The sequence below is a fragment of the Homo sapiens genome, chromosome 10 (assembly GCF_000001405.40).
Source record: "Homo sapiens chromosome 10, GRCh38.p14 Primary Assembly".
Classification (NCBI taxonomy): domain Eukaryota; kingdom Metazoa; phylum Chordata; class Mammalia; order Primates; family Hominidae; genus Homo; species Homo sapiens.
Genome location: NC_000010.11, coordinates 70938600 through 70957602, shown reverse-complemented (window position 1 = coordinate 70957602; position 19003 = coordinate 70938600). Strand labels below are relative to the sequence as shown.

At 51.6% G+C, this 19003-nt stretch overlaps 1 long non-coding RNA gene across 2 annotated transcripts; it reads right to left on the bottom strand.

Moving 5' to 3' along the window:
• Positions 1-1961: 1961 nt before the first annotated feature.
• LINC02622 (long intergenic non-protein coding RNA 2622) lies at positions 1962-18550 on the bottom strand. 2 transcript variants are annotated; one of them, NR_134313.1, is made up of 3 exons: positions 18423-18550; positions 3057-3384; positions 1962-2039 (listed from the first exon to the last, which is right to left on the bottom strand). It is a non-coding gene; the product is annotated as a long intergenic non-protein coding RNA 2622 (long non-coding RNA). The 2 variants fall into 2 exon arrangements; NR_134314.1 differs by lacking the exons at positions 1962-2039; positions 3057-3384 and adding an exon at positions 13459-13819.
• Between the last annotated feature and the right edge of the window lie 453 nt (positions 18551-19003).

Genomic DNA, 19003 nt, shown 5'->3' with positions numbered 1-19003 from the left:
CTTGCACTGTGACTTGCTCTGCTCTGACCTTCTCTTCTGCCTCATCTCTCTGCCCTCCCCTTCCACCACATCTCTCTGATTGACTCTGCTGCCCTCCTCTGCTGCTTTTAAGGGCTCATGTGATTATATTTGGGCCACTCAGATAATCCAGGTTAATCTCCCTACTTGAAGGTCAGCTGATTAGTAGCATTAATTTCTTCTGCAAAATCCCTTCTTCACAGCCTACCTAGATTCATATTCAACTGAACAGCTAGGGACAGGAGTCTTGGGGCAATGTCTTTAGAATTGTGCCTACCACCAATGGCTTCCTAGAGAAGATGGTGCGTAGCCTGAGCTCTGCACAACAGTGAGACCTGGGTGGCATGGAGGAAAGAATGCCCCAGCAGGAGGCACAGCACAGGCTAGGACATGAAGGCAGGAATTGTCATGTGTGTTGGAGAAGAGTAAGTTCACTGTGATGCTGCAGAGAGAGTCTGAGAAGGGGGCAGGGGGTGGGTGCCAGGGTCCCCAGATGGGTCCACACTGAAGGAATCAGACTTCAGGGGAGCAGCACTTTTGTTTGGAGATAACTAACTGGGATTTCATGGACCCCTCTGGCAGACACAGTGGGATTCAGGATGCCCTAAAATTTCATAATAAATACTATCCGTACATGAATACATGCATTTTTCTAGGGAACTTTCATCATATTCCCCAAAGAACCCATGACCTACAAAAAGCACAGACCAGCGATATAATCTGTCTCACCCTTACCCCTCCACTTAGCCAAACTCCAAGTTAGTAACTCCTAGAAGAATCCTTTTGTGACACAAAATAATCCCCTCAACTTCGATGTTACAAATCTGTAGCCAACAGAATTCCAAGCCCCATTTATTTTTCAGGCTTCTTTCCTCCCTCCATAGGGCCCCTAAGAAGGGACAGATGGTTCCACTCATTTTTGGACTTGTTACCTCCCAGGTCTTTCAGGTGCCTGCCTTGGCGCAGGCCACACTGGAGTGTGAGAACCGAGGGCCAGCCTGCTGTCATATGGTAGGAAGCATGCATGTGTTCCCCATGGGCCTGGACATACCCCTGGTGGTGGAAACTGGGTGAGGGCAGGAGAGGAGAGTATAACAGGAGGCCATCCCGAGCTGCATTCTGCACAGCCACCATCAGAGAAGGGGGCAGAAGGTGGTCCATGTAATGTCTCAAAAGGACCAACAAAAACACCATCCCAAACACCAGCCTCGGAGAACCTGACACCCAGGACATCAGCAGTGGGTTACAACAGTGACGGGGACCTAAGACTTTTAGCCCCTTTTTCTACTATTCCTCTATCTCCTTGCTCTGACTCTCAAGGAGCCAGCAGCAGCAGAAGGGCAAGAAAGCAGAAGTGAAGCAAAAGAACAGACCAATCTTATCTCCAAGCCATGGGTCAGCCCTGAGCTGAAGGAAAGGAAGAAGTTTTCAACTGGATGTGAGCATAAATCTCTGAGGCTGGACTGGCCCTGAAAGCGAGTCCTAATTACTAAGATGAGACTCTTCTTACAACCAACAGTAACCGAAAACTTAGAATCTGTCCAAGATGTTGTCAAGAGACAGGGCAAGGAGGCTTAATAGGAGCATGTTTAAAGCAGTGATTGGAAAAAATGAAGCCATTTCCTATTTGCATCCCATCAAGTTTAACCCCTTTATATTAGTCAGAGTAATTCCCACTAGCCACTCTAATAAGTAGCCCCAACATCTCGGTGGCTTTGTGCAGGAAGGTTGATTTCTCAGTGGCTTTGCGCAGTGAGGTTGATTTCTTACTCATATGACCCATGTCAAGCAGCTTTCCTAGATGTCTCTCTTCTGTGTGGTGACTCAGAGATACAGGTTCCTTTCATCTTGTGGCTCCACCATCTTGCAGCTTCAAAATGATCTTGGCATCACTCAGGCAACAAGGATTGTAGAAAAGCACACCAGGTAATTATTCACCTCATTCCAGGTAACATATATACCTTCTGCTCACATCCCATTTGCTGGAGTGAGTCATGTGACCAACCTAAGAGCAAGGGAGGCTGAGAAGTATAAAGAAACTCTCAGATGTGAGTGAACACCAACAGCCTTACCATGGTACTCATTGTACTGGTCAAGCAGCCATCAATCATTACATCTTTCCTTCTACTAATTCTTATCAAAGGCCATCTGTGAGCTAGGCCAGTGCCTACTACATGAACAAGAGTGTCTCAGAGCTTGCTCCTCCTATGGGTATAGCATGTGGGGTATTAGGTGTTGACAATTCAGAGTGATGACTGCCAAGATGGGGAAGTACAGAGTATCATGGAAGCATGGATGAGGAGCACAAAACTCAGGAGTTAGGGGAGGCTTCCTGGAGAAAGCGAGACCTGAAGGATGAAAGGAGTCAGCCAGGTGCAAGGTGGCAGGTGGAGGGCATCAGAAGAGGATTCCAGGCAACAGTTGCAAAGGCCTAGAGACCAGAAAGAGCCTCTGGGGTAGCGTAGCCATCCAGCTCTTTTCCTGGGTGCCCATGAGCCCTTTCTCCCACTAGCTCTGGACCCAGGTGGGTCCTGGCTGTGCATGATCCCACTTGGCCTGCCCCTACCCCTCCAAGCTGGGCAGTTAGGAAAGGTGGCGCATTTCACTTGTGCTGTGTGACCTTGGGCAAGTCAGTAACCCCCTCTGGGCCTTGGCTTCCCATTAGTTGAATAAAGCAGTTGGAAAGTTCCTGAAGGCCCTGTAGCTCAGTAGATGACCTTGCCCAGATGAGACGTCTTTTGGGAATTCCTTTGCCCTATTCTAATCCTGCCTCAACAGCAAAGTAAGGCAAGCTTGGTCACGGAGGGAGAGGGAAAGCCCGTGGGCTGGGGGAGGCAGGGGAGACAGCCTGCTTCTCACCTTCCATCCCGAACCCACCACTAATGAGGCCTGTCTGTGGAGTAATTAGCCACAATCACAGTGGGGTGCATTAGGCAGACACAGCCTCAGTGCAGCGGCAGCAGCTCTTGGGAAGCAAGAGCCCAGGGCTTTGAACACTGCATTACAACAGGGGATGCGTCCTAATGTCACTTAATTACCCCAGACAGCCTCAGATGTAATCGAGCCTGGATGGGCTGGCGGGAGCAGGCACAGGCGTCCAGAGGAGGCTGATGCGTTTATAATGATGCCACTTTGCAAGACAAATCTGGCCTTGGTGGGCTGAAGATGAGGAGGAGGAGGCCGGGGTGAGAGGGAGGAGGCTGTGGTGGCATCCAGACAAGGGTGCCTTCATTCTCCAAAGCCCTAGGAGATCTTCCAGATTTCTCCAGGCAGCAGGAAACTGGGGGACAGGTCTTTACTTCCCACCCCATCATCCAAGAGGCTGTACAGGTTAAGATTTTCCTCTTCGTTCTTTCATTTCATTCCCTGTGAAAGGTGAATAACAGGAACTGTGAGTGGCAGATAAGGGAGGAGGTCCTGGCAGGTGAGACACTGAAGACCAGACACTGTGAGGGGCCGATGGATGTGCTGAGGGAAGAAGGTGGGGAAGTGCCCTCAAGGATGCTGGCTTCCAAGAAAGTCCCATGGACAGGAGGAAGAGCTCTGAGGTACAAATCTGCACACTGAGTTTCAAGGGAGGACTCTCAAGATAATGCTCTTGCCAATGCATGTGCCTCCAGAGGCCAGAGACCCAGCAATGCAGGCACCTGGGGCCTCTGAAAGGCCCTGCAAGACAGGAATCATGTCTGCCCTGCTCATCTTCATTTTCCCAGCACCTAGCACAGTGCCTCAATAAATATTTATTGATTTGAGAAAATGAACAAATACCACTAACCCACTGATCCCTTTGGGCTGGGTCATTGCTTTCCCTGGACCTCAGTGATGTCATCTGGGAAATGGGGCCAACAATGCCCAGCTCACCTCCCAGGGCTGTGGTAGCAGGAGTCAGGCAAGCTAATGCTCACAAGACCACTTGCAGTGGTGAGGAGCCCCTGGCAGAGGTAAGGGGAACAACTGCATCTGGAGTCACTCTGTCTCCTGCTTCCTCCATCAAATCCCACAGGCCCACCCAGGCCAGACTGACCACCTGGACCAGAAAGAAGCGAAGATCTCAGTGGCCAGGGTTGGGGTGAAACTGCTCTAGGCCTGAAGAGAAGCCAAGAACTCACTCTACCCTTTTCTCTTTCCATCCCTCTCCCCTCTTTGGCCTGACTTATTTCCTATACACCAGGAATGCAGGCTTCTGGCATCTAGCTGTAATACTTCCAAAACTTCAAGAATGGTTGCCATGGAAGAGAATGTTCTTTGGAGAGGTTTTTCCAAAATACTAATGGGGAGAGGGCATGGTGATGGGACACCACTCAGGTGGGGACCTTGCACTGGGAGTGAGTTCAGAATGCCAAGTGGAATGCACGATGACAAATGGTATTTGGGCCCATGCCTCTCATGGATAAGCAGACAGATGGATGGGGGGCCCTTGGAGGACAACCGGCCCTCAGCGGGCATGAGCTAAGGCTCAGAGGTTGGGAGTGGAAGGCAGATGGTGTGGGCTGCAGAGTGAGGAGGAAGAGAAGGTGCAAACGGATCATCAAGGTCTCTAATACCAGGCAAAAAGTGGGACCCTCCCCTCCCACTGCCCTGCAGGTGAGAACAGTGCTACAGTGATACATCCTGAGGTCACTCTTCTCCCTCCCCTGGACCGCTGAGGACCTTTGCAGCAATCTCTGACCTTAGCTAGCTGTGTGACCTTGGTCAACTCACTATCCCTTCCTGGGCCTGTATACTTCCACTTGGACAATGAGCTAGCAGGATTATATGGTAGTTATCACACTTCTAACTCTGACCTTCTGTCTGCCTGTCACAAAAAGGGGGCTGTGGGAGGCACTGGCTTTCCCTGGGGTCTTTGTCACTTCACTCCAGAGCCTACATGTCCCCTCCCTGGGGTCCCAGCCACCACTGTGACCTACAGTGACATTGAGGGACGTGTTATTCTCTACCCTGTCCAATGGGCCATGTGCCAACACCTGCCTTTTCCGCATGAGCCATCCGTCACTGTCTTGGTGTGTTGGTGGGAAGACAGCTTCATTAGCTCCTCCCGAGCCATTCATCCCCCAGTGCAGAGACAAATGAGGCCCTCCAACCCCCATCAGCCTGGGAGAGTACAGAGTCCTAAGGGTAGTTTCTAAAGGGGTGCCCTGACATTTCTGCTCTCTGTAAAGTTCTTCTGCTGGAGGTCATAGACATTCTCCACAAGGCAGGAGACTCAGCCTCAGCAGGGATCCCCAAAATCTCCATCACCACATGTCACGATGCCTGAAGTCCCCACCATTAGAGGGGTCACGAGGCACTTCAGCCTCCACAATTCTATTAAAATGCAAACACTTCTGGCAGGAGGAGGAAGAGCCTGAGACTGAGAGCCAAGAGTCAAAGATGCTCCTTTCTCTGCTGTGTGAGCTCGGGCAACTGATTTTCCCTTCCTGGGGAAATCTCAGTTTTCCCATCTTTAAAAAAAGGAGTTGGTCTAGAATCTAAGATCATCTCCAAGCCCTTTGATCACTGATAAGAGGTTCAACAGGGCAAACGCTGGGATTCCGAGAATGTGCCAGTATATTTGAGGGAAGGTAAGTGCTCTGAGCCCTCTTTCCCAGAGGACCTGAGGCCATCAAGCACATGGCTTCAGTTTGTCAGACACAGTCAGGTCCGTTAGCAAACACAGCTCTCCCCTCTAAACCATTTGGAACTTCTGGTTACTAGCCATGGCTTTAGGGGCTCTGCCAAGCAGTGGGCAGTGGGCAGAGTGGATACCAAGGCCTGTCCTGGTGAATTGGCTGATAATAGGCCTAGAGAGGAGAGAATTTTCTTCCCAAGAATTTTTTTCTAGACTATCAGGATGTGGTTCTGCCTGCTTAGCTGAGATGAGGAGTCCCTCATCTCATGATGCCCATCTTTGCATGATGCCCACCTCATGCATGATGCCACCTCTGGGCCATTTTTAGTTCCCCATGGGTTTAACGAAGAAAAGAGAGCCACCACTTCTCTACTTGCTTGCCCGGCCCAATAGATGGAAGCTCCTTATTTATGGAGGGCAGAGGGAGAGGCAACTCACCTGTATGGGAACAGTGTGCAGAGAAACTCTCACATCTCCACTAATCAAGTTGGATCCTCCGCGGTTGAGCTCCAGAGAGAAAACTTTATGAGGTAGTCTGAGCTCTAGTGGGGTGAGTGGGTTGGAAGCTCCCTGAAAGGTCCCTAAAGTTGAAGGTGGGACAGCTGTGACCACCATACAATGAGGGCATTGGGTCAACTCTCATAGGCTCAGAGTAAACAGAGATGGAGGCTTGTGTGTGTGACCCACCATGTCTCGGCCACTCCATGGAGGCATGAGGCAGAATTATCTGTCTACATAAGTGTGACCTCGGCCACCCATGCCAGCTTGGAGTGGGAGCCTCAGAAAGATTCTGTCTCAAAGAGGGGGCCACAAGCCTCAGCTAAGCACTTCTTGGAGTAATCTTCTTTCACCGGCAGCCTTGAAAGAGCAATCATAAGTTTTATTAAAAGAGCTTATTGGGTCAAAATACCACAAGTACTCACCCATGCTCCACACACATGGTCATGGGAAACTGTGAGCCACTGATTACTGATTTGGACTATGACCCTGGCCCCAGGGAGTCCCTCAAGGGGAGCCATGTAAGACACAGCCATATAAGACAAAAGAAACTGAAAGCACACTGAGTATAAGGCCATTGTTTTTCAAGAGGGGGCCCAGGTGGTCAGTGCTCCCAGAGATCAGGAAGGGAGACAGTCAGAGGCAGAAGGAGGGCAGTGGGGATGGCAAAGGCTCAGGGGAAGAAAAGAAGAGTGTGTCTGGGGCCTGAGAGAAGGCTCATCTGGCTGGAATGAGGGCAAAGCCAGGAAGTGGACAGGGGCCAGAGAGGGCCTTCAGGGCCTGGCTATAGGATTTGTAGCTCGATCCTATAAGCAGAAGGAATCTCTTGAAGGCTTTTGATAACAGAAAGGGCTAGTGCTTGAGGGCCCTGAGAGAACACCTAATTTGGCCCTTCATTTTAAAGGTGGAAATCCTGAGACCCAGAGTTGGGAAGGAACACACTTAAAGTCATCCAGGCCTTTTAGAACCATGGCAAGGCAGGTAAATTTAAGCCACTGACCACTCCATGCCAGAAGTAATTGTGTTCTGTGGGAAAGAGATGCACCCTGCCACCCCAGCCCTGGGGACAGGGCTTTCAACACCACATAGGCTGTGGACAGCTTCCAGCCACCCAGCTTTCCCGTTGGAATCAGACAAGAGGCAGGGTATAGAGGGTTTCAGCACCACTCAAATTGTGGAGCGTTCCTGTCCATTGCCTTCCCACCAGAAGAGGGTTTGTAGATGCCTTCAGCACCTCGCAAAGCCATGGACAGCTCCTGGACACTCAGTTTCCCCACTGGGGAGCCCAAGCCGGGAGTGAGAAAGCAGTGGGGAGAGGGGCTGGTGTGCTGACTTCTATTATCAGGGGGCCCAGATGCAAAATGAATGCCTGTCATATTTATCCTTGTCATCACTAATAATAAGTGGCCTGATTTGTCAAGCGGGGATAGATCCAAAGATGCCAATTAAGAAGAGAGAAAAGCCCAGCTGCATTGTATTTATCTGCTGTACAGATGCATGGTGACAAAAAAGAGTCCAGATCTTGGGACCTCCATGCCCCAACCCCTACCCCCCTCCCACCTTCTTTCCACCTCACTTCCCCTGCCTCATCTGCCTCCTCTTCGTCTCTTCTGCCTCCTGCTCTCTCTTTTCCATCATGTCTTGTCCTCACATTTTACTGCACTTTCATCTCTCTTCGAACCCTTTATTTTATTCTCTCCTCCATCTTTTCTATTTCTCCCTTCAACAGTCACCCCTCCCTCTCTCCTAGACCACTGGATTACTTACCATTCACTCTCACTCTTTGGTTTACCAATATCCCCCCTTTACCTTCCCCACTACATCCCTGTATCCCCCCCTCCCAGGTCCCTCTCCTCCAAACCTCTGGATGCTATGACCCTTGTCTTCCGAACTGGCTTCCTCTCATAATCTCAGTTCACAAAGCATATTCTAGATTCAGAGGGTTAAATGGATGTGAACTACTGAAGGAAAACTAGAAAAGCCATAAATATGAAGGTTTTTACTTAAACTGCAAGCAAGCAGAGCCAATTTTTTAGAGGTTTTAGCTTTGAAAACTAAAATAAGATCTTAGGGAGACAGTTTGACTGGGTCCCTGAATCTAGATTAAAGTCTGAACCTATGCAAAAACTTCTCAATACTGCCTTCCCTGGCCCTGAACCAATCATGTCTGAGCCCTGAGGTCATCAGAGCAGGCCTTTTTCAGGTAGCAGAGGGGTTCTAAATAGCACCAAGAATCTTCATTCTATATCTTAGGTCTCTCCAATCAAGAAGTCACAGAGAAATGCCCCCAAAATATAAATAGCCCCACAAAGCCATTGTACTCTAAGTGGGGTTCAGGTAGGATGTGAAGATGTATCCACTTTGGTGTCTTTTATGGGGTTAAGGAGAGGGTGACAATGCATCATCCTGGTGGTCTCCACTCACTATCATTATGAGAGATTATTGTCCTCTTGTGGAGGACACATCCCACCCAGATATCCCAAGCTGGGCTATGCATCTTTTCCTGTCTCTGCTCCACTAAGGCCATGACCTTCACTCTCCAGGGGATAGTGAAAATCGTTCCCTGGATTTGGGGATTCTGAGTCCAAAGCTGCTTGTATAAGCAGAGGTCCCCTCTTTTTGGACCTCCAGCCCCAGACCCACGACCTCTCCAGCACACGATGACTTCACATTGCAGGACACCAAGGCTGACCATTGAGATGGGGTGGGGTTGCATTCAGTCTGGCTGAGATGAAGGGCTAGAGAGCAGGCCAGTCTATGGCCAGGAAGAAAAGAAAGCCACATGACCTCTGAGAGACCACTGGTCTTGCCATCCTGGCCAGAACCAGCTTCCCTGGACTTCACCAACTGGGTGTGGACAGGAGGCCCTTAAGTCACATCCTGAAATGTACCTGCATGCATAGGGAAATGAGAAAAACTGCCCCAAACTGGTCGGAATGCCAGTAACTACCTCACTTTCTGGTTTAATAACTGCCAGTCTCATCCTCCTCTGCCTTTCCTCCATCCCCAGGGGCCAGCTGAGAGCATCCCCCACTGATGTCCCTGAGCAAGAACTTCAGGCCTTCCTCCCAAGGTCCAAGGTTCCCCAGGCACTCTTTCTTCTTCCCAGGCTGCCTGCGCCAGAGGCTAAGCCTGAGCCATCCTTAGAGTGGCATGATGACATGTAAGGCTTCTGTAGTGGCCATGGTTTCTTAGGCCCTTTGGAAGCCCCCAGGGCACAGGAATCAAGTCACCTGGCTCTAGTCCCAACTCTGGATGCTAATTTATAGTTTTCAAAGTAGTTCCACATTCATGATTTTTTTTTCATGACCTTATGTGATCCTCACAACAGCCCTAGGAAGAGACCAAGATGATGTGGTTTTATCCCCACATTTCAGACAAGGAACTTGACATTCATTTTAGAGCCCAAATTAGAATTCAGACTCCTTGGCCAAGTATGGTGGCTCACGCCTATAATCCCAACACTTTGGGAGGCCAAGGCATGAGGATCACTTGAGGCCAGGAGTTCAAGACCAGCCTGGGCAACATAGCAAGATACTATCTGTATAAAAAATAAAATAAATAAAATTAAATAAGATTCCAGACTCCTTGCAACATAGCAAGACACTGTCTCTACAAAACAAAATAAAATAAAAATTAAATAAGAACCCACACTTCTTGTTCAATGTTCCTTCCTCTGCTCCATATCTTCAGAGACTATTTCAAGGACAGTCTTGAGATCATGCAATAATCACTAGGTTAATGTCTGAAGCTGATCTTGAGTTCTTGGGGAGACAGGTGTCATAGACAAAGAAATGATTGTCACAACCAGTACCTATGAGCAGAGACATATAAAGTCACTTGCTGCTGGTTCAATTTATGCTCACAAAGTCCAGAAATGCTGCATGAGCCTGTTTAACACCTCCAAGACCCAGGAATGGCCTTATCAGACAAGAACTGCCTACTCCATTTTTCTCATTATATTATATTATATTATATTATATTATATTATATTATATTATATTATATTATTTTCTTGAGACAGTCTTGCTCTGTTGCCCAGGCTGGAGTGCAGTGGCATGATAGCTCACTGCAATCTCCACCTCCTGGATTCAAGCAATCCTCCTGCCTCAGCCTCCTGAGAAGCTGGGACCAGAGGCATGCACCATCACACCTGGCTAATTTTTGTGTATTCAGTAGAGACAGGGTTTTACTATGTTGTCAGAATGGTCTTGAACTCCTGACCTCAGGTGATCCGCCCGCCTCAGCCTCCCAAAATGCTGGGATTACAGCTGTGAGCAACCACACCTGGCCGCCTGTTTAACTCCTAACGACAAAGTGGGCCACTGAAAATCACTCTGGGCTGGTAAGTTGGCAGTGTTTTCTACAAGCCTGCATCTTGCTCCTCCCTTTTTTACCTATCATTGGAATAATAAAATCATAATGATAACAAACATTCATTGGGCACATAATGTATTCAAGGCACTGGGCTAAATACTTTACAGATATCATTTCATTTATTGATCACAACAATCCCACAGCGTGGGTAGTATTATCTCCCCTTTTTCAGAGGAGAAGACTCAAGTTCAAGGATAATAAGTAACTTGCTCAAGGATGCAGCTTGAAAGTGGCAATCAGCACTTGAACTCAGATCTGTATTTCTCAAGTGCTGGCGCTTAGGACCAAATTCTTTGCAGCCTCCTGTCTTGAGGTCTGGCCCCCAGACTGAGGCCTTGGCGAAGGTGCAGATGGAGGCAATTCTTCCACCAGCAGCAGCCCTCAGAGTCCATCCACCTAGACTTGGCAGAAACTGAGCAGTGCTCTACCTTCCTTTCTTGGACGTTCTCACAACTCAGCCACTGTAGCAAACACTGTTGGTTCTCCACCTATATCCCCTCTTCCTTCCCATTTCAGGGCACACTGGCCCAACCGCCAACTGCCATCTTTATTTCTTTGCCTGAGGACTTTGACTGCTGGGTCCTCTTTGCTGAAGAGAAGGCCAGAAATGTCAAGGATGCCTCCTGGGAGCAGCCTTCAAGCAATGGCTGGTGAGACTTGCTACATAAACCCCCCTGCTCCCTCACTCCTTGGGTGGGCGCATGTGCCATGCCAGCTCTCAGGTTCCCCAGCAGGACTGGGCTTCACTCATCCACCATGGAAGCTGGCTCGGTAATGCCCCTCCTGCCTTCCTGCTGTCCCTACGGTGTTTCTTGCACTTAAACACACATCTCAGGATCGGCTTCTGGCGGAACCCAAACTAAATCTCCCTCTTCCTACTCTCAGCAGCATCCCCGGGGAGGCCACCGGATGAAGTTCAGACTCTAAGTTGGTGTGCAATGCCCTGCGTGCTCTAGCCCTCGCCCACCTCACTTCTGGATACCCCTCTTCCCACACTTGCAAGACTCTCCTCACACCACTCGCCCTACCCGAAGACCCACCCCGCAACCCCATCCCCTCCACTTGGTGAATATTACTCACCTTTCAAGACTCAGCTCAATGGCTGCTTCCTCTAGGAATTCATTTCTGACCACCCTCCCTCAGTGAAAGGCAATCATTCCTGCCAGGGAGCCCTAGGTGACCTGAACTTGCCCCTTGCTCCCTCGTTCCTTGGGGGGGTGCATGTGCTATCCCCATCCCTGTGACCCATTGTGGGGCTTACTGTTCATGGGGCCACCTCTCCCACTCAGTGGTGAGCCCCTTGAGGGCAGGGGACAGCCTGATCCATCTCCCAGCTGTCAGGCCAGCTCCCTAATAAATGTGTCCTGAATGAATGACGGTGTCTCTGAGATGAGAGGAGGAAAGGCAGGCAGGAGGTAGTTGGGGCAGGCGGCTGCTGGAACTCATGGTGCAGGGTGTGTTTGGTCCCATCATGGTCTCAGAACCTGTCCTCCCATGCCCCAGGAGCTCAGCAGTTGGGCCCATTGAATCCAATGGGTGCTCTGATCTCTTCCTTTCAGCTCTGCCTGCCCTGGTCAACGAGCCCACATCTAACGCAGGGTCTCCCTTGTACTGGCCCCATCCCAGGTGATCAGTGGAGATAAGCTGATATTCTGGAAAGAGCACCAACCTGAGTTTAAATTCCACTGACTATGGGTCCTTGAGCAAATTAAATGGCCTCCGTTTTCTCATCTGAACCTCAGTTTCCCCAACTGTAATGGGTAATAATTGACTCTCCCTCACAGGGAAGCTGTAGGCATTTGAGATGATAACCATGAAGGGCCTGGCACATCTACTGGAAGGTGAGTTGTGCAGGACATGGGAGGTGTGGAACACATTGGGCATTGAAATTTGTCAATTTCAGCCCAGTCCTCCACTTCACAGATGGGAAGCCAGGCCCAGAGAGCAGTTACCTTCGCAAGGTCACGGAGACTGTCAGGGACAGGCCTGCAGGTCTGAGCTGCTTGGCTGTGTTTGTTCCACTGCACCAAGTGGCTGATTTGCAGCCATCGTTGTTTAGCTAAAAATAGTTTAAAATCTCTTCTTCCCTTTTCCCCATGGTGGTCCTTGTGCAGAGTTCACTGATGACTCCCCATTCACTACCCTACCTTGGCAAGCCTGCCCCACACCTGGCTGCCCATACCTGCGCACACCTCACCTTCATCAGCAAAGATCTATCCACTCCCCAGGTTGTGGATCTCCAGGGCTGCAAGGCTGAGGGCACTGAAAGAGGCTGGGGACTTGTGGAGTCGTGGATCCACCTGCCCTCTCTCTCCCACCATCCCCACCCATGACCCCAACATCACTCAGCAAGAAGGCCAGACTTGGAGACCAGCTGGGGGGCAGAGGACCCCTTATTCCCTTAGCAAATGTCTGTTGCCCTCCCATGAAGCTCCAAGCTCTGTGCTAAGCTTTAGGGAGGCAGAGCTAAAACTGTCACTAGATGCACCCCAAGATATTCAGGGTTAGGGTAAGTGAAGAGACAAAGCAAGCAAAGAATGAGCTCTTTATGTGAGAGCCAACACTCCTCAAGGCAAACACCAGGAACTGGGGGAATGGGGGCAGCAGGAGTGGGTGGGCACTGGCCTGGGGACACTTCCTTCAGGACTCACAAAATCCTGAGCATCACGGGGCCTGGCAGCAAACCCCAGATCCCCCAGAAAATGCCTGTGATCGGATCAGCTTGCAGAGGGGAGCCCAACTTGGTGAGAAGAAAGTAGGGGACCATCCTCTCCCCTCCCGCAGCTCTCCATTCTCCCATCCCCCACAGCCCCAGCTCCTGCCCCTCCGCCTCTCACACCGTCCTATTAATAACTTGTGATACCATTAGCTTTTGCTGTCACCAGCAATGACAACTCAGAAGCCCCCGAGAGCTGTCTGCAAAGACAATAAACGAGAACTCTTAATTAACACCTCCCTTAACTAAATAAATTAATTTTATGCAGTTGCGATGTCAGCAATGTGACTTGCCAATGACTGAGGCCACTCGGACAGACTTGGCAAGGGCTGCAGGGCAGGCTCAGCGGGGTGTTAAGCTCTGCGGGGTGTCAGTGGACAGCAGGGCATGGGCATGAGCGCCAGCCTAGCCTGCGGATGGCATCCCGGGCAGGACAGCCAGGTGGCTGCATGTGGAGTTCCAGAGGGGCAGTCTGGGGACCCAGGGCCTTTCCCAGCTTTGCCTCTACCTCCTGAGTGGCATTAGGCAAGCTTCCTCCCAGGGCCTCTGTTTTTCTCATCTGTAACACGGGCATCCTCTCTTGTCATGCCTGCTTCTCAGGGCTGTGGAGAGGATAAGAAGATGCAGGGTAGGAAAGGGGTTATAAACTATAGAGTGTCGTGCATGTGTGAGAAATGCTGATGACACCACCCTCCAGCTGCTAGTCAGTGCTAGCTGGGCAATTCTGTCCTTCCCCTGACAACACACAGACAGGGTGAAATGGCCCCTGGGTCCCTGGGCAGCCCTGAGCTTCCCCGAGGACAACCTGGGGACAGGAGGACTTCTTCAAGGCCATCACCCTCAGAAAGCTTTGGTTATCCACCCACTCAGCTTATGTGCTCAGAGCAAATGAGGCCAGGACAGTGAGCCATTCCCAGTGCTCCTATTGGACAGAATCTGCACTGGCCCCAGGCTGACACTGGCCCTGACCTGGTGAGACCTCTGGTCCAGCCCTGAGTTGAGGTCCTGAAGCCAACCCCAGCTGTACCCAGCTCTGACCAACTTCTTCATTCAGGATCCGCGTGAGCCCCCAGCCATTGCCTGAGCCATCCCCTGACCTCAACCCCTGGCCAAGCCCCGACCCAGCCCTCCCTGTCACCCTTCAGTTCCAATGCCAGTCCACATGCCCCCACCCCAACCAAGCCTAGGACAGCCCCCTCCTCCCACTCAAAACTACACTGTGCTCCAAACCGTGTCAGCCTTGCCTTGGGAAAAAGAGAGAGACCCCAGTGTCCCCAGCAGTTTACACTGCGGGCACCTTCCACAAACTGCAGAGCCCTCCTGCCCACACTATCCCCTCAGCACATGCCTGTCATTAGCCATTCTTCCCAGTTGGCACTATTTTCAGGTATCTGCACACAGAGACATCTAGCAACTCACCAAAAGCCACACAGCATAGCTGTGGCTGGGCGAGGACTCAGATGGCCACCAAGAGATTCCTAATTCACTCACTCAGCCATTCAGTCACTAAACAAACATGCACTGAGTACCCACATCCATGCCAGGCCCTCGGGGTCAGTTATTGGAAAACAGACATGGCCCCTGCTCTCAAGGGGCTCACAGGCTGGGCAAAGATGAGACTTGTTCCCTGTAACTGCACCAAACTTCTTGCAGTTGCTGCCTCATTCCCTCCCCAACACACACACACACACACACACACACACACACACACACACACACACACGCTCCACCCTCCAGGCTGGCAAAGTGGAGACACACCTGAAATTAGCATAATGGGCTTGGGGGGGTGGAGGGAGGCCCAGGACCTCTTTGTCCATCTGTGATGCTACCAGGAATGAGGCCCGTGTTGGTGGCCGTGGGAACACGCAGTGCTGCATCAGTAATTGGGTCCATGTGGGAAGGGGATGAGCAATGATGTCCCCATGTCCCTAAGCACACAGGGTGACTTGCAGTGACCCTGCCTAAAGCCCACATCTCCACAGCCATGATGGAGTAGCAGGCAGCAGCCACTGGGCTGAGGCTGCAGGAGACCTGCCCACCAGGCCTTCACACATGTGCGGGCTCTGCACAGGGCAGGATGTCAGGGAGGCTGAGGACAGAAGCCCAGGGGCTGTCCCCAGCTTCTAACATCAGCGGGTCATAGAACTTCCTGCCTCAGCTTCTTGAAATCATGGCGTCCTTGACCTCAGGTACCCCTTCCATTATGCTCCGGCTCTCCCAACTTCTTAGAAGCCTCCTCAACTCCTGGCCCCTTTTGCGGAGGAGGCGGGAGGCAGTGAAATCATGGCATGAAGAGGTGGCGGACCCAAGCTCCAGCCCCCATGCTGCAGGAGCAGCTGTGTGACCTTTTGGGCAGGTCACCCAGCCTCATGCACCACCTCAGTGTCTCATCTAAGAAACAAGGCTGTGGGAGCCCTTCCCACAGGGTGGTGGTGACATCAGACTGCCACTGTGCTTGGCTAAAGGCTGGAGGCACAGAGGGTACCCAGCCAACGGGAGTTCCTTCATCTTATCTCACCTGCCACAGAGCCAGTCTCCCAGCACCACAGCCCCAAAGCAGCCCCCCAGGTGGGAAATGCCTTGGGGGTACCTACTGTTCCTTTGCTCACCACCCCTCCACAGCCTCCTCTTGGGTGGTCTTCAACTTCTACTTTCCCTCCCCCACGCCCTGACATCTGCCTCCTCCTCCCCACCCCTCACACAGAGCTCTCCTGATGCCCTGAGGCCTCCAGTGCCTCCATTCACAAGGAACTGCAATGGTACAGCCTTAATCTGTGTTCCTTCTCCTGGGCCTCCATATTTTGGAAGCTGGGACTGTTGACCTAAATGTATCCAAAGAAATGACTTCCTAATGGTGGAATTACGGGTATCGGGCATCTTGGTAGGAGGGAGCTTTGAGAATGAGAGCCTTCTTAACACCTCTCCAATCATACCCCATGGCTCCCCTTCAGGGTAAGAGTCTTCCTACACAGAGATCAGTGGATCTGGAATAAAGCCAACAGCCGCCGCCTAGCCCTGAGCATGCTTGGAAACCCACAGCCTGCTCTTGGACAGGAAGGTTCAGCCACAGCAGCCAGGACAGCTGCAGCTTTAAGAACGACTCCTGAGCCCAGAGAAGCATGGAGTGGAGGGGATTGATTTTTGGGTCCTCCTGGAGACTGGGATCCAAAATCAATCTGGCAATTAATAGGCAAGGTGTGAAATGGCTCTGGTTTCAGGCTCCCAGTGTCCCTGGTTGTCTTCCCCAGAGAAGGGCCCTGCTGCCTCTGTGCTTCCTTCCACTCCCCATATTCTGGGGCTCTGGTGACAGCTCCTGAGAAGTCCAGCTGGCTGGCCCTCTTCCAGGGCCTTGTCACCTGGACAGGGCCACAGGATAAGCTTGGCCAGCTGGCAGGGCTGGGAGGAGGGAGCAGGCAGCCTGGATTAGTGGCCAGGGAAGGGAAAGCCACCAGGGGCCCTTTCAAGCCCCTCCATCTCCACCCCTACATCACAGGTAAGAAGCAGGACATGGCGGGGCTTCTAGGGACTCTAAATTTCCAGAGGGCCAGCACCATGGGGGCAAATAACTGTCCATCCTATGTCCTCCAACCACTCTGCTGACCGAGCCTGGTGGACAGGCCCTCCCCCATTGCACAGACAGGCTGCTTGAGCTCCTAAGAATGTGTCCATCCAAGCGCCAAGTGGGTGGAATGGCCCCCAGATGCTCAGAACAGAACTGGGTGTGGGCTATGAGCCCATAAGAGAAGGTTTCTTGGAGAGGCAGGGACTCAGCTGAGTGATTGGGGTGAAACCCAGAAAGGCAAAAAGGAGAAAAGTGGCACGCCCAGTGAGGGATGAGTACGTGCCAAGGTCAGGGGATAAGATAAACAGGTCACAGCACAGTGCGTGACAGTAGGGGGACAGAATGGCCCAGCTCAAGGGCTGGAGCACAGCAGCCTTCAAGGTGTGGGCAGCTGATGTCAGCAGCCAACTCCTGTCCACCCTGCATGCCATGCTGGGGTCACCCCAGACCCACTGATCTACATCTCTTCCTTGTTCTCCAAGCGGCCCCTCTCTCCGGCCAATGGGCCAGCTGTCAATAGCTACATTTACAATCTCCATTATATCTCCATTGCCCAAATTTCTTTTCCTCATTTTTCTTACTAAAAGACAGTCTTTAAAAAGGAGTCCCTGAGCTCAGCCCTTTTCCAGCCTCGTTAATTTCATGCCCCACCTCATTTGTTCCAAGGACCTACTTTCCCCTCGCCCGCTGCCGCCTTCCTCCCGCCAGCTATATTCGGATCTCTGCTCCGTCCTCTGTAACCTTGTGTGCCGCTCAGAGTTCTGCGGGTGTTTTTCTCTGCCGAGGAACTCTGGACTCAAAGGAACCGCAGAGGTTGTCTGTTCACATCCAACCCCCTCCTCATGCCTGAAACTGGAATCCCTTTTCCAGCCCAAGGTTATCTGGTCTCAGTTGCACTCCTGCAAGGACAGGCTGCTGCTCACTGCAGGGCAGCTTTAACTGAGACCAGCTTCTTCCAGAAAGGTGGAACCAATCTGCCACTGATTGCCGTTTCCTCTCTGTGTTTTGTCTGAGTCAAGTCTCACAGACAATACTGTCAGCCCCCAGGTGCAGGGCTCAGTCATCCCTTTCTTTGGAATCCTTTGGACTAAATGTCCTTTGGTTACCTTGGATGTGCAAGACATGTGACAAAGCACCATCCCTTGCTCACACTGCTGCTAGTGCTGAGACACTCACTCCTGCCCCTGTGCCTCCAGCAGCCACTGGGGGAGAGTGGCAACCTAGAAACTTCTCCTCATTTGAGCTGAAAATCACCTCTTGGCCCTCCCCACCCTCTGGAGCTAGCTCTCCCTTCAGGAATCACCTGGAGCAAGTGGAATTCTCCTTCCCCCAGACAGACATTCAGACCTTGAGAATTCCATCATGTTCCTCCCAAGTCCTGCCCTGGCCTGGCTCTGCAGCCCAGGCACCACCCACTCCTCTCCAAAAGACACAGGGCAGTTCACCAACATTTATCCAAGGGTAGGGTCCCTCACTCGGGCTGAGGTCTGTGCACAGCCAGACCGATGTCAACAGTTAATGCAATGCAAACCTGCACAGGGCTTTGGCAGCTGCTCACACTGTTAGTTCGTGTGAAGTTAACAAACGTTCCCAAGCAGATTTTGCACAAACTTCCCTCAAGCTGAGCCATGGGCCCTTCATACCTAGCTGGCAGACTTCACATTTCTCTCTGTTGAATCCCACTTCTTCATTTCACTCAGGAGTCCCAGCCTGCAGAAATTCTTTGGGGACCTGTTGTGGCTTCTGTTGGGTGGGCCGTCCCTCTCAGCCTGGTGACATGGCCAGACTGGATCATCAGAGGCTGTCTCTAGCAGGGTAATTGTGAGGAGAGAACCCTGGGGCCCCTGGAAACATATTGTCACCCCAACCCCGCCCAACCACCTTGGCTTGCCAGGGGAAGGAGTTTACTGTGGTTCTGCAGTTTCATAAACTGGTTTGGTGGAGCGGGAGTGTGGGGGTTGGCAAACAAGGACCCCAGCCCCTCAGCACAACACCTAAGTGAGCCAAGGCCTCTGAGTCTGATCCCAACCTGCTCCTGCCCACAGGTCCAGCAGGAGGTGCCGGGAGCCCAGGAAGCAGGTGGAAAAGCTGGGGGCATGGGCAACTTTGAGGGTACAGAGAGGCCACGAGGGACCAAGCTCTGCGGGATCAACTGTTCCTGGCTCCCAGGGAGATATAACCCCCCAAATGAGTGCCCAGACCTCAACAGAAGCTGTCTCTGCTC